The 25782-nt window shown below is 51.9% G+C and overlaps 2 annotated features.

The window, feature by feature from the left end:
* Positions 16046 to 16546: an enhancer, noted in NCBI's record as "H3K4me1 hESC enhancer chr22:50088046-50088546 (GRCh37/hg19 assembly coordinates)". NCBI's record gives its function as "activates a minimal SCP1, AML or CMV promoter by ChIP-STARR-seq in primed H9 embryonic stem cells {active_cell/tissue: H9 hESC(primed)}" and the evidence as "EXISTENCE:reporter gene assay evidence [ECO:0000049][PMID:30033119]".
* Positions 19802 to 20595: an enhancer, noted in NCBI's record as "H3K27ac-H3K4me1 hESC enhancer chr22:50083997-50084790 (GRCh37/hg19 assembly coordinates)". NCBI's record gives its function as "activates a minimal SCP1, AML or CMV promoter by ChIP-STARR-seq in primed H9 embryonic stem cells {active_cell/tissue: H9 hESC(primed)}" and the evidence as "EXISTENCE:reporter gene assay evidence [ECO:0000049][PMID:30033119]".

Raw genomic sequence — 25782 nt, 5'->3', positions numbered from 1 at the left:
TGGGGATGAACAACCGAGGCGTGGTGCCAGGACTGGAGCAAGAGCTGGCCTGGGAACAGGTGCTGGGACACAGCAGGACCCAACATAGGAGGGTGGACATACAGGGGCACCCAGGGAGGGTGGGACTGGTCGTGGCTCAGAAGAGAAATATGTGGGTGTCGGGTGAGGCAGGAGCATGAGAGGTGGGTGTGTGTGATCAAAGTTCCCAAAGACATGAGTGCTCGGGGGTCGAGGGTTCACAGGTAGACACGTGGATAACTCTGGAGGGCAGTGTAGTGCCGTTTTGCCAAGGGTCTTGGATGCCCAGTAGGATTTTGGGTTCATCCTCTGCAATTAAGTTTCACTCAATTGGGAAGTAACCTGATTGCATTTGGGCTTTAAGGGTAATATTGCTGCTGAGGAGATGGGGGGCTTGGGGACCAATGCCTGTGGTGGGAGGTGTGGGTCTTGGGTTCCTGGCTCGGGAAGCATTTGGGAGCTTTCCTGAGATTTAGAGAATGCCTCCTCCTTGTCTCCTTTCTTCTTCCTCTGGTCATTTCTTTTCCCAATCAGCCAAGCCCACCAGTTTCCACCTTGCTTCTCCACAGGTCTTTGGCTGGTTGACTGCCATCAGCATCTGTCAACAGAGTGGGAGGCAAGGAGTGTTTTCATCTGGGAATCTTTTCATGTGGTGAACCCCTCAGCTCAGCATTAATGTGACAGATCCCACGGATTGATTTTTAAATGTTAAATCAACCTTGCATTCCCAGGTGAACACACTTCCAGATGTATTTGTGATACATTCCTTTTTGTCTATGTTAGTAGGTCTGGTTTGCTAATATTTTGCTGTGGAGTTTTCATCCAAGTTCATGAGGAAGATTGGCCTTTATTTCAATTTTCTTGTAATTTCTTAGTCTTACTTAAGTATCAGTGACATGCTGGGTTCAAAAATGAGTTGGGGCATTTTCATGCTTCTACAATTCTCTGTAAGAGTTTGGATATAATCAGCATTTTCTTCCTTAAATATTTGGCAGAATTCAGTGGTGAAATCCCTTGGGGCTACAGTTTTCTTTGCGGAAAGGTTTTAAATGTGATACAATGTATTTAATAGATAGATATAGGGCTGCTTACATTTTCTTTTTCTTCTTATGTCAGTTTTGGTGAGTTATCTAGGACATTTTCCATTGCATGTAAATTTTCGAATTCATTGGCATGACATTTTAAATAATAGGTTTGTAACCAGAGAAATGACCCCGCTTAGTCCAAAGTGTGCTGTTGGGGATACGTCATCACTCCCAGGCTCTTCTATTCCTTCCTAAGGATCTATGACCTTAGTTCTTTACCTGGTTATTCTTAATGGCAGCTTACTGAGGTCCAGTCGATGCCTGATTTCAGGCCTCTGCCTAATTTCCCTGTGAGTGAAAGAATAATTGTACCATATGATTGGGAAACTGTGCAAATGTGGGGTCAGCCCAGCCCCTTCCTGGCTTCCCTTGGAAGGAGGTAGCAGCAAGGACAGCTCCAGGGCAAGGACTGGCCAACCCAATGCCTACTGAGATGGCCATTCTTACTGGGCACTTGGGCTCTTCTGGGGACAGGTATCCCTCCTCCCACTAGGGACAACCGGACACCTCTTATTCCAGTAGCAGCTGGTGAGGGTAAGCCCTTCTTTTCTTTGCAAATCCTGGAAAAGAAAAGGGAGCACTGCAGTTTGGACTCGGGTCTGAGTCCTAGGGGAACACCTTTATTCCCCTGGGAAAGCATGGGCTCAGGGCCTGGGCAGGACAGTGGGGTGTGGGTGGTGGTGCTGACCCTGCTGAAGGCTGCATGGGCAGCTCCCAGGGGTATTTTTGCCTCATGGTACCTCCAAGTTCAAATTGTCTGATTCTTCCTCCAGGAAATCATTCCCTTATTTCCAGGCTGTGATACCATGAAATATGTATTTGATCTTCACCTAGTTTCCTGCCTATAAGTCCTAAAATCCTTGGACTCTCGAAAGCGATGAGTGTGTTTTTGTATGTTAATGAGTTGACAGATGGCTGGCATCCCCTAGGTGGCTTCAGGATGGGGGCTGGTGACTGGAGAGACCAAGGCAGGATGAGAGGTTGGGACTATCAGCAAACCTCCAATCTGTGGGAAGGGGAGGGGCTGAAGTTGAGCTAATCACCAATGGCCAGTGATTTAACCAATCATGCCTACATAATGAAGCCTTCATAAAAACCCAAAAGGACAGGTTCTGGGAGTTTCTGGACAGCTGAACACATGAAGGTTCCTGGAAGGTGATGTGGCCAGGGAGGATATGGAAGCTCCACACCCCTTCCTCCATAACTCACCCTATGCATTTCTTCATCTGTGTCCTTTGTAATATCCTTTATAATAAACCAGGAAATGTAACTAACTGTTTCCCTGAGTTCTGTGAGCCCCTCTAGAAAATTTTATTAATTTTATTAACCCAAGGAGGGGATTTGGGAACCTTGATTTACAGCCTTTTAGTCAGAAGCACAAGCAAAACAACCCAGGGCTTGTAACTGGCATTGAAATTAGGGAGATTCTTGTGGGACTGAGCCCTCAAGCTGTGGGCTCTGATGCTATCTCCAGGTAGACAGTATCAGAGCTGAATTGAATTAGGGGACACTCAGCTACCGTCCACTACAGAGGCAATTGATTGGTTGTTGGTGGGGACAACCCACCCCTGACCTCTGTGACTCCAGAGGTCACAGAATTCTTCTGTATTGATGGATGTGGGATGACAGCAGAGGAAAAACAGTTTTGTTTTTTTCTACGGAATTGGTATCAGAAGTGGGATTTGCTAGAAGGGCCTGGCTCATAGAAACATGGGTTTGGGAAGAGAAAGGATAAAAGGGTGGGGGTTGAGGAACTTTGATTCCTAGGTGGCCACATGGTCACCCCTGGTATGGAGCTGCAGGTGGTCTGGGCTCAGCTACCAAAGGTGAAAGTTACCAGTGGAATTTAAAGATGGATCCAACTCCTGGGGAGCTGGTTTGCTGGATACATAAGGAAATGCAAAGTAATAAAAAAAGCAAAACAGTCAGTCCCTTGGTTATGTTATCTGTACTAGCTAAAATAAAATTAAGAGTGTGTTGGCTGCGCATGGTGGCTCACGCCTGTAATCCCAGCACTTTGGGAGGCTGAGGTGGGCAGATCGCCTGAGGTCAGCCTGACCATCATGGAGAAACCTTGTCTCTACTAAAAATTCAAAAATTAGCTGGGACAGGGTGTGAGTGTCTCATGGAGAAGGACATTCTGACTCTGAGACGCAAACAGGACCTGCTTCCTCTGCCAGGCTCGGGCCCTGGCTTGGTCCAGGTGCCACCAGATGGTTGAGGCAATGTGGACTTGGGTGGCCCCAGAATCACCAGAGGCCTGGAGAAGCTGGCCCAGCAGGGCCATCTAAGAACTTTTTAAGCTGCTTTTGTAGAGTACTTCTGACTTATTTTGGTAGTTCAAATGATTTGTCTTGCACATACAATATTTCACACGTGATCCATCGGATTTATTCTTTTGGTGTCATCTATCCTAGCGGGGCTTGCACCTGCAGACTTAGCTGATAGATTTGTTAAGCCAGATTGCAGATATCCAGGGGCTGCTCCAGTGTGGGGCTCTGCTTTCTTAACAGTATTTCTTTTTTTTTGAGATGGAGTCTCGCTCTGTTGCCCAGGCTGGAGTGCAATGGCTCAATATCGGCTCACTGCAACCTCTGCCTCCCAGGTTCAAGTGATTCTCCTCCCTCAGCCTCCCGAGTAGCTGGGATTACAGGCATGTGCTACCACGCCCAGCAAATTTTGTATTTTTATTAGAGATAGAGATGGGGTTTCACCATGTTGGTCAGGCTGGTCTCAAAGTCCTGACCTCAAGTGATCCACCCACTTAGTTAATAGTATATCTCAATCTAACAAGGCCTGGCTCCAGCAGGCACTCAATAAAACATTCGTTCATTCAGCTCCTATTTCCTGGAGCCACCAAATTCCAGGGGCCACATCCGGGACAGACGGGGGCAGGGCTCCCCTTCCGCAGAGCCTTGCACGGCCCAGGGAGCCTCGGCCCAAAGAGGAAGGGAAACAGGTTTCTCCCTTGTGCTCTTCAAACACATCGGAAGAATAAATATCCTGGATCTTAGAATACTTATCATTATACTTATCAATACGTACATTACCATATTATAAAGGTAATGTGTGCTTATTTAAAATAATTTGTGAAACACTTGAACTTAGAAAAAATTAAAAAATCATCTTTAGATCCATTGACCAAAGATGACTTCTGTTATAGTTTGGTCTATTTCAATCGAATGGGTTTTTTTCCTCTATGGGCTTTCACACACACACACACACACACACACACACACACACACACACACACACAGACATAATCATGTTTTAAAGACATTGTAATTTTAAATGTACACTTTATTGTAAATAAAGTGTATTTACATATACACTATGTAAATAGTGATAACATAGCATAGTGTCTATGCTATTTTATCCACTCTAGGATCCCATCTGTGCCTATTTCATTGGGCAGATGGATATATAGTAATTTTCCTATTTCCTTATTGATGGACACTGAAGCTGTTTGTGAATTTTTATCTCATGAATGAGACTGCAACAAATATCTTTGAGCATAAGGATTCTTATCTTATGCTTTGGATTAGTTATTTTGAAAGGTGGGTTAATGGGCACATACACACATGTGATTTAGAGTCTCCAGTGTTTCCAGGAATGGTACCGAATGCTCCCCACCTGATCTTCTGGGACAGCCCCGGAGCTGCGCACCTGGAGGCGACATGCGTCACCTGCGCCTGGTCCACGTGTGCGGCTCTCGCCTCATGCTGGCGTGATGGTTTCCCCTTTCTCCGTCTCAGCTTCGGCAATTTTGTTGCTGTTTCTCAGCTGAGCAAAATCTTTCCCCTGCGAGGTTCCATGCTTGTCTGTCTTCTGTTTCCCCCATTTTCTCCCTGAGTTTTTAGATCTCCTGGGCTGTGAGCCAGCGAGTGCTCTGAGTGGAGGCTGTGGGGAGCTTGAGGCCGAGCTGCCATGCCCGCGCCAGTGCCTGCGCCCAGCTCTGAGGGGGCCCCTCCCATGCAGGTGCAGGAAGAGACACGAGGGGTGCTGGCCCCTCCCCTCGGGCAGAGCGGCCCCTCCCATGCAGGTGCAGGAAGAGACATGAGGGGTGCTGGCGGCTCCCCTTGGGCAGAGCCGCCCCTGTGTCCTGCACATCCAGGGCTGGTTCCCTGTGTGGCCTCCTTATCAGTTAGCAGGTTGGATTCTGCTTGTTGCTTGAAATTAAGGCAGTGGTGTTCATCAGCAAACTACTTAAACAATTCAGAAAATACACCCAAGTAGGCAAAAGAGAAAAAAGAAATCTAAAGGGATGCAAAATCTCAAAAGGGAAAAGAAACCACCTTAATCCAGATAAGCCTTCGGTGAGTGAGTATTGATTGCCAATCGCTTTCAGGTGCCTGCGCTGAGCCAGGTTTGTCATTAGGAGAACGAAGCGGCCCCTCCTCACTCCCCTCCGCCTTCTTGGCCTCTCTCCACTGCCTGGGCTAGGGGGCCCCTTGCCCCACACACTCCCGTCCTCCTCGTGGTTCTCCTGGGGGCTCTGGGCAGAAAACCCCCCTCCCTGGGGGGCCGCCACAGCTGGAGCTGGGGCCTGCCCCGCACCCCAAAAGGAAGGTGACGAATGCCTCCTCCATCCCCCTTAGCGACCCCAGCACCTGGCTGGTGCCTGAGCTGGAAGGGGAGTCCGCAGAACAAGGAGCCCCTTGGCCACCTGTGCAGCATGGGTGGAGCATGCAACGGCGCCCGCGCTGGAAGGGCTGTAAGGCGATGGGGCAAGGGTGTCTCAGGCCTGGAGCTGTATTGAGGACGCACTCATGGAACTTTCGTCTTCACAGGAGTCTACGTGGGCCCCGCAGGTAGGAGCTCTGCCCAGATCCACCCTAGACCAGCCCCGCCAGACCCACGCTGCCTGTTGCCCCCGTGTCTGCGCCGCTTCCTGCTATGGGCATCTCAGGGGCCTGGGTCCCTTGGCATGCTGTCTCCCAGCAGGCACCTCCCTCTCCCAGGACCGGGAGTGGCCCCAAAGCAGGCCCCTGGGGCTGGGGTGGGGAGCCCTGAGTGGGGCTGAGGTGCTGAGGCCCGGCTGGGCTGGGGGAAGCTGTTCTTGCTGATTATTTTCCCGCAAACCCTTATCTGGCCTCCAGTACCTACCGGAAATGAGGCTGGGCTGGGGGCAGCAGCAGAGATAATCAAGACAAATGAGCTGTCTGGAAGCCGGGGGCTGCGGGCTGCTTGGGCCTGGAGCTGCGTCTTTCTCTATGTGAACCCCGGTCTGGCGGGAGGAGGCGGGCACGGCTGTCGGGAGGTGTCCTGGCTGCCCAGAGGCCACAGGGGAAGCCGTCTCAGCCCTCACCCCACATGCCGGACCCTCACAGCTCGGCCCGCCGGGCAGTCTGCACCATTCCCTGCCTTGCACCCGGGTACTGCGGCCACTTTCTCACCCAGCGACTGTGATTCCCGGGACGCCCTGTGGTCATTCAGACCCTGCACAGCTCACGGCCCTATCCGTAGGGTGTGTATAGAAGTTAGGGGCCAGCAGGGCCCTTTTGAGAAGGAAAGCAGGCCCCGCTGGCCACACGGGGCACGTGGGTACAAACCTGGATGGAGTTGCGCCGTTTATTCACCTGTTCAGGACCCAGCCCCGTAGCAGGCCAGGCACTGGGAAAAATCTGGCCTCACTCAGACCAGGCGACCCCTTCCCTCGGCTCGGTGACCTGGAGGCCACTCTGCCTGCCCCTTTTCAGGACTTCACTGCTTGCTAAGGATAAGAACAAGGATAATGATAAATAACACTAATAACGCAGGCTGTCCTTGAGCTTCCCCCTGGGCTGCACCCCTTCTTCTCTCCTGGGGAGTCTTTTGAAAAATTCAGTATTTTATATAAGTAATTGATATGTGTGTTTAAAATGGTGTGTAGTTATACTCAAAACAGAAGTCGCAATTCTCCACAGAAATACGTTTTTGTGCATAAACAAAATAAATCACAGGCTGTAACGAGCGTGGCTGGAACGGGGGGATCGTAACGATGCGACGAGCGTGCGGTGACCCTAATTATCGTGCCTGCCGTTATTTCAGTGAGAAGCAGGGTCGGATTATTTGTGAATGCTGACACAATGACTCATAAAAGGGGCTGCGTTTCTTGAGTTATTGGCGGCACTGATGTGTCTGATGATAATTCACATATGAGGTGAATGAGCTTCAGGGAAGGGGCTAATGCCAGGACCATCCAGGCCTGTGGCCCCTCCCTGCCCCATGGGAGGCCAAAGGGGCTGCTCCTGCCGGTGGGGTGGGACCCCAGGGTCTGGAGGAGGCATGGGCTGGGGAGGGTCTTGTAGAGGGGAGGAAGGGCATGGAGTCCCCTGGAGCTGGCTGCTGCCCACCCAGCCGTGGACGGTGGTGGGGAGATCAGAGACAGGCGGGTCGAACCCAGGGGACTTTTAATATCTTTTAAACTCTTATGTAAATCTATAATTGTTTCAAAATGAAATGTTAAATAGGGAGGATACTTAGTGAGTGAAATGACTTACTGATTTTTAAAAAGAACAAACTTCACTTACCTAAGAAGCTTCTAAGCAGATATTGGAGTCTTTGAAGATTCCAACTGGATTCTCTGAAAATGTGAGTAAAGTTTATTTCTCTATAGAAATCAAAGGCCAGGTGCAATGGCTCATGTCTATAATCTCAGCACTTTGGGAGGCTGAGGTAGGCAGATCACCTGAGGTCGGCAGTTGGAGACCAGCCTGGCCAACATGGTGAAACCCCATCTCTACTAAAAATACAAAAATTAGCCGGGTGTGGTGGTGGGCACCTGTAATCCCAGCCACTTGGGAGGCTGAGGCAGGAGAATCACTTTAACCTGGGAGGTGAAGGTTGCAGTGAGCCGAGATTGCGCCATTGCACTCCAGCCTGGGCGACAGAGCAAGACTCTGTCCCCCACCCCCCAAAAAATCAAAAAAGCATGTGAAACTGTAAAAATATAATGAGCAAAAATATTTAGGAAATAATATAAAAGACATAAGAGACTGCAACTTATTTATCAGATTCTGCATCTAGGGAAACTGTTTTCCAAAGAGAAGAGATGTCAAACACAAGTCATTTAAAAAAATCTAGGGGAGAGTGACTGATTTCTTAAGTAAACTGGGATGTGAAGTCAACACTCTAGAAGTTGTTCTGTGCCAGGACTCAGGGGCTGATGAGACTGAAGCCCAGTGCCAAAACCTGCCCCACTTTGCAGGGAGATCAGGAAAGACAGGTCATTTTGTTTTAAACCCAGGGCTTAAGGTAGATTCCCTGCTTGTAATGAGATCAGAACATTTCACAAAAGCAAGAGTTTCAGCCATTCTCAGAGAACTCACAGAAGTTCATCTTTAACCTCTGCTTGTCTTGAAAGATGGGAGGGAAACTTAAGATGGGAAAAAAGGTTCTAATTTCTCCAAATTTCTTCATCTTAGAAATGCAGCAAATCTTTCCTGATTCTACTCCAGCATGTTGGGGTTTGGGGAGATTCATCCTGGAGGAACCCAAATTCCCAAAGCACCTAAAACTGTTGGTTGAACCAATGTCACATGTAGCAAGGGGATTGCCTGCACTGCAGGAGGGCCATCACACCCATTCTGGGGACTCCCTTCTCAGCAGTCTCTGGATCCAGGGCTTCTCACGCTTCAGTGATAAAGCACTGCAGTGTCTTGTTGAGCCTCAAGGGACAGGCACACACTTCACCTAGGTCTACTGTTGGGTGTCCAACAGCCAAAGGCCCCTCCTCTGGTTCTCATTACAACGGCACCATCAGTTAGTGCTGTTCAGATGAAGCAAATGAAAAAGACAGAGGGGCAAAGGAACATTAATTCCCTACATTGTTATATATTGAGATTTGCCATTCAGTACTAACAAAACGAAACAAAACAACTCCGCAGCTATTTTCCGTCTTTTCCTGCATTTTGAATCTCTTGCCACCAGGGGGCAGTGTTGAAGTCTGAACACCAACATCTGAGCAGTGAATTTTAACCCCACATGTAAGCTTGTAGTCTGTTATTGATGGGGTTAACACAAGCACTATTACCTGCAGTAGTGGCTACAGGGGGCCAGGGCTAGCCTTGAGTTAGCATGTACCCAAACACCTTTCTCCTCAGCTTCCTGTGGCTTTGAGCTCCAGATTTCCCATGATTCAAATACAGTTTTTCTCCTAGCTCCGCCTCCTCATCCCATGGCTCTCAGCAGCTTCAAATTGCGCAGACAGCTTCAGACTTTAAAAAACGATAAACTTCCCTTAAGTTGTTTTCTTAAAGGGCCAATTTCCCTTACACAGCACATTGTGAGAAACATGTAAATGAAGTTTTTGAGTATAGATTCAAATTGGTTACAAGATAATTGCTAACAACAAAAATGTACAGCATTGCAGTTGAGTCCTCAAATTCTAATTTTATGCAAGAATTAATTCACAAATATATAATTCCAGCTAGCATATGTTGTCATTTTTATGTCTGTGCAACTTAGACTTTTACCTCCAAAGTTATTTTAAATCTGTCTTGGAGGATGTTTAATATGAGTTCGGCAAATGACATTTCTGTGGACGCCTCTGGGGATGACACTTGTCAGGAGGCCGTCTGAGGTAATTTGTGTAATTTGCTGGGGTTCATTATTGCAGATATCAGCAATCAATATTTTTTTCCCTCAAAAAAGGACATCAGTTGGTTCTTAAAAGCACATGGGAGTCTTCTCCTCCTCTATAACCCATCCTGGAGCGTCCACAGCAAGGACACTGGTCACCCCTCTGGGGGGCAAAGGACAGTCAGGGCTGTCAGACCGTAGGGGCTGAGGGTGAGAGGGGGCCTGAGAGGAAGAGAGAGACAGAGACAGAGACAGCAGCAGAGACAGAGAGAGACAGCAGCAGAGACAGAGATAACAGCAGAGAGAGAGAGACAGCAGAAAGAGGCAGAGACAGGCAGAGAGACAGTAGCAGAGACAAAGAAAGAGATAGAGACAGAGAGAGCAGCAGAGAGAGTCAGAGAGACAAAAAGAGAGACACAGCAGAGAGACAGACACAAAGATAGCCCAGTTTCCCACTGCTATAAAGAAATACCCGAGACTGGGTATAAGGGAAAGAGGTTTAATTGACTGACAGTTCAGCATGGCTGGGGAGCCCTCGGGAAATTTACAGTCATGGAGAAAGGCAAAGGAGAAGCAAGGACCTTCTTCACAAGATGGCAGGAGAGAGAAGTTCAAGCAGGGGAAATGCCAGATGCGTATAAAACCATCAGGTCTTGTGAGAACTCACTCATTATCACGAGAACGGCATGGGGAAACCACCCGCATGATCCAATCACTTCCACCTGATCCCTCCCTTGACACAGGAGGATTATGGGGATTACAATTTGAGATGAGGTTTGGGTGGGGACACAGCCAAACCATATCAAAGAGAGACAGAGAGAGGGTGAGAATGAGAGTGAGCACTGTGGTGCGAGAAGGCAGGCAGGACAGCCCACGGAAGTCCACGGTCCTCCCTGATGCGGCCACTTGGCTGGGCTGAGGACACACTGAGGAGGGACAGGGTTTCCTCTGAAGGCTCCATGACTTCAGAGCAGGCCCGAGTGGAGGGCTGGATCCTGCAGGCTGCCAAGGCCTGGAGCTAAGTGTGGGCCGATGTGGGCAGCAGCTTCCTCCAGCCCATGGGGCTCAGGAGAGACTGCAGGAACTGGGGCCAGACCGAGGCCAGTTCCGCCCTGTCCACAGCTGCCTGGGGTTCCTCCCTGTCCACAGCTGCCTAGGGTTCCTCCCTGTCCCCTGAGGCCTTGAGGGGGGACCTGACCTCCAGGGTCTCCCTGGGGCCTGGCGGCACACGTGGATCCAGCGGTGGGCAGGAGAGGGGGAGCTTCTCTGCCCAGGGACCACACATCAGAAACGTGGGGAGACCCAGATGCCCCTGAGTCTGTCCCCCTGGCTCCAGGCTTTCACAGGGGTGCAAAGCCACCTTGATTCTTTGCAACCCTTCCCATAAAAGGGTGGACTCTGCCTCTTGTCTACTCCCTCAGCCAGGGCCAGCCTGTGGCCGCTTGGCCAACAGAATGTGGTGGAAGCATCACTGTGAGGCCCAGCCGGGGCTTGAGAGCCTCCTGTTTACTGTGGGATCCCTGCCGAGCTGCTTGGCAAAGGAGCCCGGGCCTGTGGAGCAGCAAGGACCCCAGCTGGGGTCTTCACACCAGGCCTCCACCAGCCCAGCCCCAGTCATGCCGGCCACTGACCAGCAACATGTGAGGGTCAAGTTGAGATCAGAAGCCACCCCGCTGAGCCTGGCCTGGGCTGCTGGCATGTGAGTGGGTGCAGGTGCACAGCTTCGAGAGCCCTGATGGCTGCTGTGAGAAGCCACTGTCTTGGGGGTGGCTTGCCGTGCAGCCGAGGGAGACCGACTGGTGCAGGCATGTGGCGTGTGGATTCACACTCTTTCTTCTTCAATAGATGGAAGGCTGTTTAGATTAAGTGCATGGTACCCATAAGAAATGCAAACCAACCTGGGTATCTGCCACTCAGCCTCAAATAAACAGACAGAAAAACCCAAGAATTCCTGAAGAGCCCTGTGGGGCCCTGCTCAGCTCCATCCGTCTGCCACCCCCACGGGGGAAATGCCACCATGAATTTTGTTTCCCGTTACCTGGCTTTTAAAATAATGTTTCCACATTGGCAAGGACCCCTAAGCAATGTCTTGCCGGATCGCCTCGTCCTAGATGGATCACCAGCTGGGACTCCTGCCCCCACATCCTGCTGATGCTGTCTCTCCTGGTGGGATGTCCCTGAGAGCCCCTCACGCTGAGCACCTGCCTGGGGTTCCACCCTCTCCACAGCTGCCTGGGGTTCCGCCCTGTCCACAGCTGCCTGGGGTTCCTCCCTGTCCACAGCTGCCTGGGGTTCCTCCCTGTCCACAGCTGCCTGGGGTTCCGCCCTGTCCACAGCTGCCTGGGGTTCCTCCCTGTCCACAGCTGCCTGGGGTTCCTCCCTGTCCACAGCTGCCTGGGGTTCCTCCCTGTCCACGGCCGCATGGGGTTCTGCCGTCTCGATGAACCACAGCTGGTGTATCCAACCTACCACCGCCAGCAGCTTGGGCTGCTCTCATTTTTCACAACATTATAGAAATGGCCACATTGAGCATTCTTGCACAGACCCACATGCCCAGGGTGGGAGTTTCTCTAGTGCTTCCCACAGGTGGGCAGGGAGATCGTGATGCCCCCCATTTGACCTGCAGGGTGACTTGGCCAGGCCTGGTGCCCCTCAGCACTCCCCTCACTCTGCCCTTTTCCACCTGTGCTATGGTGAGAAATGCTGGAAATTGCTCATGGGGCCACACGCGCCCAACATTCCAGCCGCTCAGAGGAACGCACGTGCAATTGTGCAACCGCAACATCTCTCAGTTTCACTTAGTTTCTTTAAAATGATCCAAACTGATGTTCACTGCGCCAGGGCACCTTCCTCATAGTCTCACCAACGCTTGATGTTTCCAGACTGTGGACAGTTCTGTAACACGTTTTCAAATGATGGTTTTAATTTGCATTCACCTGAATACCGAGTGCTTCTTAACTGGCCACTTATATTCCTCTTTCACATTCAATCTTGATTGTTTCTCATTCATTTGGTAGAGTTAGTTATGCATTCTGGGCACTAATTCATGCCAGCTGAATGCATTGCAAGTATCTTTTCCCAGTTGGTGGGTCTACATCCCATCTATTTATGCTGCCCCTGACGAATTTTAATGTCACAGACTTTGTCAATCTTTTCCCTTAGTATTTGCACTGTTGGGGTTTTGTTGAAGAAAGTATTCCTTAGGCCATGGTCATAAGTATGTTCTCCTATGTTGACCTTCGAAGTTTTGTAAACATTTATATTTCCAGTAAGTCTTTGATTCATTTGGAACTGATGTTTATGTATGAAGGAAGTAGAAATCAATTTTCCTTATTTTTTTAAGATATTAACCAGTTTTCCCAGCACCAATTATTGAATAAGCTTTCCTTTCCCCTTTAATCTGCAATTCCAAACTCTATTAAAATACTGTTGATTGGTATATATACATGTATTATACCTATTACACACATATAAATATGCGTGTGTGTGTGCGTGCATGTATGTGTGTATACGCATTTTCATGAATACACTTACATTGTGGATTTCCTCCTAGACCCTCTCCACATCGTCAGAACCTGAAGTCTGGTCACCAGAGCTCCACCCCTTCTTTGGGAGGGAGCCTGTGTTCAATGTGAATTCACCTCACAGGATGTCCACTTTCACTGTGGTTCTGGACTCTGAGGATGTCTTACTTTCCAGATAGTTTTGTGATTTACTGAGAAAGATCTTTAAAGCGTATTGTATCTAGCATTTATAGGCCTTTTCAATTGGTTCATATTATGCACTTCATCTGCCATACTGCTGGATATAGAAGTCCTTCACTTCTATATTATGCACTTCGTTTACACTCAATACTTAGACTTGCTATCAAGTTGACCAATTTATCTGATCATGATCATTTCTTGAATCCTATTGCTTCATTTTAAAATACATTCTATCAAGTTCTTTCACTGATAGTAAACTTTTGATCTTGGTCTAAAACTGCCTTTACCTTCACTCTAGAGTAATTTAGCTGGGTATAGAATTTTTGATTGACAGTTGCTTTCTGTCAGCACATTGAAGATTTGAAGATATTATCCCACTGACCTCGGCAATCACTGTGGTTGATGAGAAGTCTTTCATTTCAATACGATCAAGGCATGTATTTGCTTTTATTTATTCTCTAGTAGAAAATGTTTTCTTCAGTTGGAAGTGGTGGCTCATGCCTGTAATCTCAGCACTTTGGGAGGCTGAGATGGGTGGATCACTTGAGATCAGGAGTTAGAGACCAGCCTACCCAACATGGTGAAACCCAATCTCTACCAAAAAATACAAAAATTAGCCAGGCGTGGTGTTGCATGCCTGTAGTCCCAGCTACTCTAGAGGCTGAGGCACGAGAATCACTGGAACCCAAGAGGCAGAGGTTGCAGTGAGCTGAGATTGTGCCATTGTACTCCATCCTGGGCAGCAGAGTGACACTCTGTCTCAAAAAAAAAAAAAAAAGAAAAAAAGAAAATGTTTTCTTTAATCTTAGAAAACTTTCATTGATTATCTTTCAAAACATTGCCTGTGCACTCTTTTCTTTCTTTTCCCTTTTTTGGAACTCTTAGAAAATGTGTGTTGAATTTTGCATTCAATTTCCTTTTCTTATTTTCCTTTTCCTTGTGAGAAAGTGACTTCCTCAGATCCACCTTTAAATCCACATTTTTTCTCTTCAGCTGTGTCTAATTGACTATTTAGCCTGTCTATTTAGTTCTTACACTCAATGTTTTTATGTCTGCAAATTCTTTCTGCTTCTTTTTCATTTGTTTACAATCTATCTCCTTTATTTTTATTTATTTATTTATTTATTTTTGAGATGGAGTCTCACTCTGTCACCCAGGCTGGAGTGCAGTGGCACAATCTCAGCTCACTGCAAGCTCTGCCTCCCGGGTTCATGCCATTCTCCTGCCTCAGCCTCCTGAGTAGCTGGGACTACAGGCACCCACCACCACACCTGGCTAATTTTTTTGTATTTTTATTAGAGATGGGGTTTCACTGTGTTAGCCAGGATAGTCTCGATCTCCTGACCTTGTGATCTGCCTGCCTTGGCCTCCCAAAGTGCTAGGATTACAGGTGTGAGCCACCACGCCCGGGCTACCTCCTTTATTTTTAGTGTCCTTTTTTTTTCTTTTTCTTTTCTTTTGTTTTTTTTTTTTCTGAAGCAGGATCTTATTCTATCATTGAGGCTGGAGTGCAGTGGCACAGTCATAGCTCACTGCAGACTTGACCTCCTTGGCTCAAGCAATACTCCTGCCTCAGCCTCCTGAGTAGTTAGGACAACAGTACATCTACCGTGCCTGGCTAATTTTTTAACACTATTTTTTTTTTTTTTTTTTTGTAGAGATGAGGTCTTGCTTTGTTGCTCAGGCTGGTCTCAAACTCATGGCTTCAAGCAATCCTTCTGCCGTAGCCTTCCAAAGCACTGGGATTACAAGCATAGTGTCCTATTCTTGTCTTACTGTTTCTGTATTTTTTTTCTTTAAACATTTTGAACATATTATTTTAAAGTATCTCTTAGCAGTTCTGTTTTTCCCTTGCTTTTGGGGTGCACATTCTCCAGTTCTTTGGCCAGCCCCTAGGGCTGCCTCGAGTAGTCACTGCCTAACCTGGTTTTCATCTTCACTGTGAGAACATCCCGTGGGTTCTCTTCATAGCAGCCTCTTGTGCCCTGATTTGTGGAACTCTCTTCTTGCATGATTTCCACTTCTTGCAGGGGTTTCCACTAAATCTAGGAGTGTTTGCATTTTAACTTAAGGAGTTCTTCCCATGGAACAAGGAATGTAAACCCCACCTTTACACACATCCATGGTTTAGGCCAAGGCCTAACCATTCCATTGATAAATATTAATTTTCATTCCATTGATAAATATTAATCCTTGTTGAGTACCTGTCTGTGCCCAGCAAAGCTCTCAGCTGGCTTCTATTTCCTTCCCAAGCCCTGGCAGTTGACTGGCTGCCTTGCCATTTCCTCAGACTGGCTGTGAAGTTTTTAGTCTTTTTCATAAGGAGGGAATTCTCTGGGACTCCCAACCTTATGCAAGGAGTGCATTCAGCCCAGCTCCCCTCCACGCCCGGTTCTGTGGCCCCAGCTCCCATCCAAGCCCGGTTCTGTGGCTTGGCTGTGATGCCAGTGTGGGCCTCAAGCCCAGCCCCTGAGGCCCACATCAGAGTCTTTGCTGCTTCTCATCCCTCCCCAACCCCCAGGCCGGCTTTGAGCTCTGGATCCTGGCAGCTCCGTCCTTCCAGTCTCCTACATGTGTCCCTGCAATTGTCATGCCATGGTCAGCATTTCTATGTGTCTGGACCAGGGAGGGGCTGGAGGGAGCTGGCAGCTGGAAGGGACGTGGACCCAGCCCTGGCCACCCCTGCTGACCATCGCCCTCCCCTTCCTGTCCCATAGCTGCCAGGAAGGACCCCTCTGCCCTGCACCCCTCCTTCCACCCCACTTGCCTGGAACAGCTAACTTGGATCTGCCACAGGCACCCCCTGGAGCTCCCTGAGCACCCCTGTCCTCTGCATTTGGGCTGAAATGTCCTCTGTGCTCCAGTGGCTCTGGGCCTGCCCACAGCTGCCTAGATGCTGGCACCCCAGATACCCCAGGCACCCCAGACACGACAGACACAAAAGGCACCCCAGATATGCCAGGCACTCCAGGCACCCCAGCCACCCCAGACACTCCAGGTACCCCAGTCAATGCCAGGAACCCCAGACACCCCAGAAACCCCAGATAACTCAGGCACCTGAGACACATGAGGTGCCCCAGACACACTGTGTGCCTCCCTCCGGCTGGACACAGCCCCATTGCTTTTCTGCAATATCTGATTAACTCAAGCATTCAGCTCTCTTCCCACCAAAAGAGGGGGAAAAACAGCTCAAAACTGGGAAAGGTTTCTAAATGGGCATCTGTTGGAAGCACAAGGCCAGCAGACTCAATTAGAAGCATCTCCAGAAACTGCAGAAAAATCAATCTTCTTTCATCATGGAAATAATGAAATTTTCCCCATTCCTGTCCAAACATGGTGCTCACAGGCCAGATGGCAGCTCCACTCCTGGGCACAAGGGGTGTGCTCTGTGGGGTGGGTGCAGGTGAGTGCAGGGGCTGGAGGGCTGGATGGGGCCACAGCCTGGGGGACAGGCCAAGCCCCTGTCCACCTGGGCCCCCCAGATCCTCCTGCTCAGAACCAACTCACTTGAGCTCCATGCTCGGGGCAGCCAGGGTCCGGCCGCCCTGTGAGGCCTTTCTGTCCATGGGTGGCCCTCGCTGGAGGCCACTTTATTAACGGACACAAGTCATTGCGACCATAACGCTGCTTGCTTATGATGACACCTGCATGGTCCTCGGGGTACAGCGCTCACCTCCGTGTTCTGTGGTTTTTCTATTCTACACAGAGGTTCTTCCTGGCCAGACATGGAGGAGATGGGGAGATGGGGGTGCCAGAAGGATGGGGTCGGTTAATGCTGGTTTCCTAGAGGGTCCCCCTCTTCTTCCCAGACCCCCCCCGCCGTTCCCTCTTCCCTCCAGGGATTTGTATTCACTTTTTCAAACCCCTGCAGCCTTGTTGCACACGGGCAATGACATGCACCCACATATGTGTACACGCACAGGCACGCAGCTGGAGGCACAGCTGTCTGCAGCTGGAGGCACAGCTGTCTGCAGCTGGTGTCTGATGAGCCTCGGGGGAGTGAGTCACCTTTCGACAGTGGGCAGCCTTGGACCCTGGGCCTCCGCACCCTCCCTCCACTGGGAGCCTCAGGGCCCACACCCTCTGGGCCTGCCCGAGAGCATTGAGGCTGATGTGGTCCTGAGCCTGGGCCTCGCCCTGTCACTGCCTGGGGTACAGACAGGGACGGAATATTCGTACCCTTCAACATTCTTGCTGAGCCCTAACGTCATCCAGCTGATGGTGTTAGGAGGGAGGGCCTTTGGGCGGTGATCAGGTCGTGAGGGTGGGGCCTCCTGAAGGAAGGTTATTGCCCTTATATCAGGGACCACAGGGACACCACCATCTCCGCGACCACGTGAGGGCATCTATCAGGAAGAAGAGACCTACACCAGACCCCAGGGAGGCCTGTCTCTGCCTCTGCACTTCCTGCCGCCGGAGATGTAAGAAATAACATCCTGTTGTCTGTGCGTTCCCTAGGCTGGGTCCTCTGTGACCTCCCCCAGGCCTGGACCTCTGTGAGTCGCCCAGGCCTGGTCCTCTGTGAACCCCCCGGGCCGGGTCCTTTGTGACAGCAGCTCAGCTGAACCAGGGGCCCAGCACCACCATGAGCTCGCCACGTCCTGCAGCCGCAGGTGACAGAGGCAGGAACAGGCTGTGGGGCTGTGTCGACAGGGAAGGGCCTGGGCTGGACCGTGAGTCCCCTGGAGTTGCTGGTGCTTCCCTAGTCCTGCCAAGATGACCTGGACCCACCTGGCTGTGCAGACGTCCAGTGTCCGGTGGCAGACGCTCCCTGGCTGGCTGGGTTTCCACCCCTGTCCCTCTCTGTCATTTTGAGTAGTGTCAGACCTCGTGGTCGGCACCTGCTGAACTCGCCTCCAGCTGACCAGTCATTAACTGACACCATAGGGGTCATGTGACTGCTCGGCTCAGGGGTGGCTGTGGGCTTGCCCATGGCATGGTCTCTATGTGAGCAAGTCCCTAAGCCCATCACCCAGGGAGGGGAGTTTAGCTCTGCCCACTAGAAGGAGGCACATCCAGGGATTTGTGTTCACTTGTTCAGACCTCCACAGTAATTAATAGCAACTTTAAAGACACTTCCAAGCCACGTAACTTTCCTCTTTCTCCTGCACTTCTGCTCACCAATCTCGGCCTCCAGCACAGGGTGGCTCCCGTGGCCATTCCTGCTCCGTGCTCTCACCGACTTTCCGTTTCCGTCAGTCCTTCTATGTGGGTGATTTGGAATTCTATAACGAAGACTTCTCTCTTCTTTCCCATTTATCTATTTATGTATTCACTAATTAATATTAATAGGGGCTCTTGGATACATTTTCTTTGGGTATCATCTAATAGGGTCGCTATTTATTTTACGGCTGCGCTGTTTCCACACTTGACCGTTGGGGTCTCCTGTGTGTTTCTGACATGCCCCACCATCCTTTTTTTTTTTTTTTTACTTTGCACTTCCCAACTTTCTGGCACTAGCAGATGCCACAGGCTCATCTTGTATATTTCCCGCTGTAGACCCAGAGTCAGATTCCTTCTAAAGAGCCCTGGTTCCTTTCCTTAGAGAATGGGATTTAGAAGCCATGGTCTGGGTGCTGGCTGTGCTCGAGGATCCTGGGGTGTCACTGCTTCTAGGCCTTCTCAGGGGCAGAGCTGGGAAATACATGTGTGTCCACTAGCCCATGTCCACACACATCTGATTTATTTCTGTATGCATCTAACTGTAAATAGATACTTATTAAAACAAGCTCAGCCTCGTGCTGACATCTCAGACTCAAATCCACTGCCTCAAAGCCCATTCTGCCTCCCCCTAGCGTAAGTGTAACTGTTCTTCCTGCACTGACTGGTTCTCATCTCTACAATGTATGTGCTTGTTTAACTCTAGGGTACATAGTGTCAGAATTGCTCATCTGTAACCCTGCCGGACACTGGAGCACACTGTGCACAGGCAGCATCAGTTGAAATACCCTATTCTGGAGTTACTTACTTACTCAGCTCCTCTCCTCCCCACCCTGTTGGGCAAGATTATTGCGCCTGCCTTTAAATACAGGTGGATCCACTTGTTAGGTGCCACATGCCATCCTGAGGCCCCCACCTCCTGGCTGATTTCTTGGTTTGCATACTACCAGTCAGCCTGGGTTGCCCTCACAGAATGCTATGGACTGGGCCACATAAACAGCAGACATTGATTTGCTCACAGTCCTGGAGACGGGAAGTCCAAGAGCAAGGTGCTGGGGGGTGTGGCTCTGGGTGGGAGCTGTCTCCCTCACTGTGTCCTCTCCTGGCTTCTCCTCTGTGCATGTGGACCTCTGGCATCTCTTCTTAGGAGGACACCGGTCCTGCTGGGCCAGGGCCCCACCCATGTCAGCTCATTTAGCCTCAGTTACCTCTAGGACCCATCTCCAAATATACTCCCCCCGGGGCTTAGGGCTTCAGCATCTCAGTTCGGGGAAGACACACTTCAGTCCATCGCACACGCAGTGAAGTGTCTCAGAGTGTTGACAATGCCCGGAACCACTTATCCACTGCCAGGGCATTATACAGAGCAGCTCCACTGCCCTAACAACCATCTTCTGTGTCCCTTTTTAGCCAATTCCGCCCCCTCCCCCAAGCCCTGGCAGTGGCCAATATGTTTTCTGTTCTATAGTTTTGTTTTTTTCAGAATGTCATACAAATGGGACCACCCACTGTGTATCTGCTGCGGTCTGTTTTTTGTCTCTTGGCAAAATGCACTTAGGATCAGTGCGTGTTGCTCCATTACCCAGACTTGCTCCTCCCGTGGCTGAGTGGTGTTCCCAGTGTGGACCTGCTGCAATGAGTCTGTCTGTCCATTCCCCAGGCTCGCTCCTCCCGTGGCTGAGTGGTGTTCCCAGCATGGACCTGCTGCGATGAGTCTGTCTGTCCGTTCCCCAGGCTCCCTCCTCCTGTGGCTGAGTGGTGCTCCCGGCCTAGACGTGCTGCAGTGAGTCTGTCTGTCCATTTCCCAGGCTCGCTCCTCCTGTGGCTGGGTGGTGCTCCCAGTGTGGAAGTGCGGCAGTCTGTCTGTCTATTCTCCGGCTGGACACTTTGGCGATTCCCGGTTTTGTCGATTATAGACACAGCTGCCCTGAGCAGTCATCGTGTGTGGTTTCTCGTGTGAACAGTTCTCAGTTTGCTGGACTCAGTGCTAAGAGGGTGATTTCTGGGTTGTATGTTTAGCTTTGTCAGAGTCTGCAAACCATTTTTCCAAATTTTTTGTCCCCAACAGTGGCCGGATAGAGTTCTGCCCCCACCCTCCCTTTCCTTCCTGCTCAGTCGGGAAGCTGCCCCCTCTGGAACAGCGGGGAGCTCTGCACGCCCCAACAACGGACTCTGGGCTGTGACAGCTTCGGGGAAGTGGACGGGCAGGAGGTGGCCAGGTTGCCCTTTACGTGTGTGGGCTGGCTTTGTCATTCTTCCTGGGCTCCTAGCGGCTCCCTGGTAGAGCCTCAGGCAGGGACCACCCCACCCCTGATGCCTGCTACTCCTAATGCAACTCCAGGCCCAGGAAAGGTGGCTGTGGCTGGCTGGTCGTGCCCCCTGGAGCGGCTGCAGGGGCCCTGGTTGGGGGCACGGTATTGTCTCTGGCAGGACCCTCAGTCCTGGGGTGATGGCACGGCCAGGAAGGTTGCACAGGCCTCACCTCAGGTTTTGTTGGAGAGATCCCTGGGTGCTACTGACCCCCTTTTTTGGGAAGTCCGTTCTCCCCTGAGCCGTTCCCCCAGGGCTCCTGTGGTCTCCTTGCCACAGTGATCAGTCAGGCAGGACTTCTGCCAGTGCGTCCTGGGGCTTCTCACACTGAAGGTGGAGGGAGAGCTCTTCCCATGGCCGAGCTGGGCTGATCTCAACTCAGGGGAGCCCAGGTCTCCTGCTGGAAGGAGGGGCTGGGGGAGGGAGTGTGTAATGAGCTGATGGTTATTGCGACCCTGAGGCCCTGGAGCCTCAGCCTCAGTTTCCCTGTTCTTGAAGCTTTCCTTGTGCGTGCAAACTACAGGTGTCCTTCCAGGAACTCCCCTGCTGCGGACATCTCAGGCCAGGCCAAGTAGAGTTTGCTTCTTGGATCTGAGACCCTGCCTGTAAGGCCATCTGGTCTACTAGTCCCACGCAGCCAATGGCATGGGAAGGCACTGAGCACAGGGGGCCCTGAGGCCAGCTCCCCCTGCACTTCTCAGAGTTCTGAGGGACTGAGTCCCAGCACAGGGGCTGTGAAGCCAGTTCCCTCTGTACTTCCTGGAGCTCTGAGGGATTGAATGTCACAGACCCTCTCAAGGGGGCCCTGGAGGGGCCATCACCAAGGGACACAGTCTGTGTTCTGAGATCATGGGTGGGGAACCAGAGGTGCTTTGCAGCAGAGGGATATTTAGGGGTCTTGGGGACAGATAGGACTGTCGTAGGCAGTGATGAGTGCCGGGAGTGTTCTGCAGGCGGGAGCCCCAGATGAGGATGAAGGAATAGGATTGGGTCTGGAGCTTGGGAATTGGCAGTAGGGGGCATTGGGAAAGGGTGCGTTCTCGAGGGCCCACATCCTCTCTGGCAGCGACTTTGAGCCCGTTTCTCTTCACCCGCCCAGAAAGGGGCACAGAGCCGGGCACAGCCTCGGGCCCAGGAGACGCAGTCTGGCCCTGCCCTCTCCTCCAGGTGTCTGGCCTGAGTATGTGTCCTTTGTTCTCAAACTCGCAGCTTGCCAGGCTTGGTGCCTGGTAACGGGAGCTGACTCGCATGTGGGGTGTGGGGCGGAGGTACCACGCTGATTTAACATTCTGGGGAGCGCCGCCTCCTTCCCAAGCTCCATATCCATTTTCCGAGGTTGAAAATCCCTAGAGCTTTCTCAAGAGCCCCGCCAGGCACCACTGCAAGGAGAGATCCTCTGGGAGGCCTTCTCCACCCTGGTGAGGGATTTAGCACCTTTGGGCTCCTGAGGCAGCTGCTGCCTTGATCCCACCCCCACTGCTAGTCAGCAGCACCTGTCCTTACTCCCAAAGGGAAGGTGTTTTTTGTAGGGCTCATGGCTATTGAAGAAGCCAGAACCCCTCCTGCTCCCCTTCCCCAGGACCTCCTTGGTCTGCACACCTGGTCCCAGGCCTGGCTGGTGTGGGGAAGGGCTCTGCACGGATGGGTCCTGGGGACCTCGGAGCCTGTCATCCACAGTGGCCGGGAGTGGAAGGCAGGGCCCCTGCCCTGGTGAGGCCAGCGGATTGAGCGTGGAATTGTGATTCACATATGCTGGCTGCCTGGGTGCCAGTGGACGCCGGCGGATCTGACACATCCAGGGGATCAGTGGATGCCGGCAGATCTGATGCACTCAGGTGACCCAGCTCCAGACAAGTGGGGCCGGGTCAGGAAGCTTCTCAGGTCGGGGACTGGGAGACTGACTCCAGGAGGGCAGCTGTGGCCCAGGTTTCCTGTGGCCGCCCTCAGGGGCGGCAGAGCAGGATCTGGACCCCACGCAGTCACAGCAGAGGCCTCCCTGGGCCCCATGGGAACGCTGGGCCTGGATGGCTCTTGGGTGTCCGAATCTGGGGAGCGGCCAGCCCTTGCATCTGCACTGATAGTCCCTGGCTTCGGGCTCAGGGCAGAGGCCAGTGTGAGATCTGGCTTTCTCCCAGTGGCTGCCCCCAGCCCTGCTGTGTGACCTTGAGGGGTTTGACAGGGGTCCTCGCAGGGCTGGTGGGAGACGGTTGGGGGCAGGCCAGGTTGCCCACAGAAAGGAGTCCGGTTTGGGCGGTGAGTGCGGGAAAGTGGGTGTCTCTGAATGGTGGCCTCGGCTCCAGGAGCAGCCCAGGCTGGGGTGGGAGGTGGGAGGTGGGGCTGCTTGCACCAGGAGTGGTAGGTAGAGTTGGTGAGAAAGGGTGAAATTGAGGATGTTTTTCCAGAGGAAGAGATGAGACCTGTTGATATCTGGGGCCCAAAGAAAAGAGACATCCTGAGATGGAGGGAGGGGGCCTGAGACTGCAGGGCCTGGGAGGTGGCGCTCCGGGGTCCCAGTGGTCCTGGCCCTGCATGTCCATTTGATTGATGGCTCTGCTGTTTGCCTGGATGCTGCCCCTCCTCCCAGGCCAGCAGCAGCATCCCGCCCAGCCCCAGCTGTGTGCTCCATGTGAGCTTGCACTGTCTGGGATAAGCCAGCTGGGACCCCAGGCAGATTGGGGTGCTGTTAGGGGCCTGCCTGCTTTCCTTGGGGGACAGCAGTGTGAGGCCTGGGACCCACCACCTTGCCTGAGCCTTCAGGGCCTCAAGAGCCTATTGCCCACAGTCCTCTGTGGCTCTCCGAGGTAGACGGTGGTGTTGCTGCTAAAACGATGGTCACTGGAGCTTTGGGCACCGAGGTGATGAGACCACACATTGCCCCAAACCGTCATTTCAGTTGGCCAGGCAGCTGGACTTGCGACGCTGCCAGACGCTTTAGGCGAGGGTTGTCAGGGCTCACCCAGGTCTGCAGGGAGTCTGGCCTCAGGCTCATAAACCCTTCTGCAAACCTGGGTGCTCCCCACAGAGTCAGACCTGAATTCAGATGGAGATGACTTGATCCCTCCCTCAAGTTTCCAGTAGGGGATTCCAAAGGCCACGCTGCACCGAGGAGGAAGGATGCAGCTCCCTGGGGGTGGTGGCCATGGTCCCCACCTGCTCCATGGGCAGGAGGAGGGGTGTAGCTCCCGGGGTGTGGCGGCCGTGGTCCCCACCTGCCCTGTGGACGGGAAGAAGGGTGTAGCTCCCGGGGTGTGGTGGCCGTGGTCCCCACCTGCCCTGTTGGTGGGAGGAAGGGTACACTTCTCACAGGGTGGTGGCAGTTCCCCACCTGCTCTGTGGTCCTCACCTGCTCTGCGGGCGATCACCTCCTCTTCGCCCCTGTGGGTCTGCAGGTGGAGGGAGCTGGACCATGTAGCGCTCTCCCTGGTGCCTCCCCACTTGTTGCTCCCAAGGCAGGAGGGGGCCTGGGGTGGGCCTGGACTGCCTCCGGATCCGGATCCTGATCCCCCTCACTCCTGTCCAACCCGACATTCACAGCAGCCCAGCGTCCTTGACCAAAGGCTGGTGTCCAGGTCCTGGGCTCCTCATGCCCGTCCACGGGGATCCTGTCCTCACTGGCTCACACCTCCTGTGGCTCAGTAAGAGCTGGGCCCTGAACTCTGTACAAGTTTGTTCTTAAAATTATAATCCCCCTGCTATCTAGGGATCTGGACCCTAATTTCCCAGCTGGAAGCCTCAGGTTTTTTCGGAACCATCCATCCAGCCCCTACCCTTGCTGATGAGCCCACTGTCTACAGTGTCATTCCCTCCACCAGCCAAGGGGCAGGTGCGCCCACTGGAAAGTCCCGAGGAGGTTCCCCGCAGGTGCTCCTGGAAGTTGGGGGCATCTGGGGTTTGGGGCACTGGTGGGTTGTCCTTCTCACCTCTTTACATTTTCACTCCGGTATGCGGAGTTAATGCTGGCTTTATTTTATTTATTTTTACAAATAAAGAACTTTGTAAGCAAGGGTTGAGCACACGTTATTACATGTTGCTTTTCCTTCTGCATTTTAAACCTCCTCTACCATGGTTTACTGTCTGTCACTAAAAGCAGACTCCTGGACGGGAGGCCCTGCGGGGAGGCCTTGGCCACCTGCAGAGCCTGGGAGGGGTTTGTCCAGGTGAGGTGCTCACTGGACCACTGCCGGGTGAATGGACACATGCCGGCAGCCGGTATCAGAACGGGACGCTGTCCTGCCCTGGGCTTCAGCACCGTGCTGGCTGCTGAGCCTCCTTATGCAGAGGGAGGTCGCTCTCCGGTCTGCTTGGCAGTGCCGGGCCACGGTAGGTACGTGAAGACACTCAGGGGCCCATCATCTGGGTTTAGATTCCGGCTTCGCCAGCTACTGCTGCGTCGCCTTGGGGGTTTGATTGACGTCTCTCTTCTCAGTTGTCCCATCTGTAAAATGGGGTTGATAATACTGCCTCCTAGGCTGCCTCCTAGGCTTGGTATGAAAAGACAGAGTTCATGTAAGGAAAGTGCTCAGAATGGTCCCGGATAGTGGACAGCATATGTGTTAGCTGTTTAAAAGTTATTATTATTTTTAAAATTTCAGAACTGGGTATAGACATGTATCAGATGGATGCTGTATTTGTCATGTGGTCACACAATCACATGATCTCGCAGCACCAAGAATCTTGGGGGCGTCTGATCTCCTTCCACGGGTGGCAGAAGAGTCCAGGTGGGGGTGAGGGGCATGGGTGTGGCAGCAGGAACACAGCTGCTTCACGCTTCTGGGCTGGTGGCTCCCCCCAAGGGTGGGAGAGATCTCGAACCTGCCAGCACGCCTGCTGCATAACGCTCTGTGCCTTGGGTCAGCTGAGTATTCTGCAAATTGGATCTGGGGCCTGGAAATCCCAAGTCATCACCTTGGACCCCATCCCTGTCTAGAGACCTGGGACTTGAG

The sequence above is a fragment of the Homo sapiens genome, chromosome 22 (genome assembly GCF_000001405.40).
Source record: "Homo sapiens chromosome 22, GRCh38.p14 Primary Assembly".
NCBI classification, from domain to species: Eukaryota; Metazoa; Chordata; class Mammalia; order Primates; family Hominidae; genus Homo; species Homo sapiens.
The sequence above is the reverse complement of the archived record's forward strand: the minus strand, read 5'-3'. Positions and strand labels throughout refer to the sequence as shown.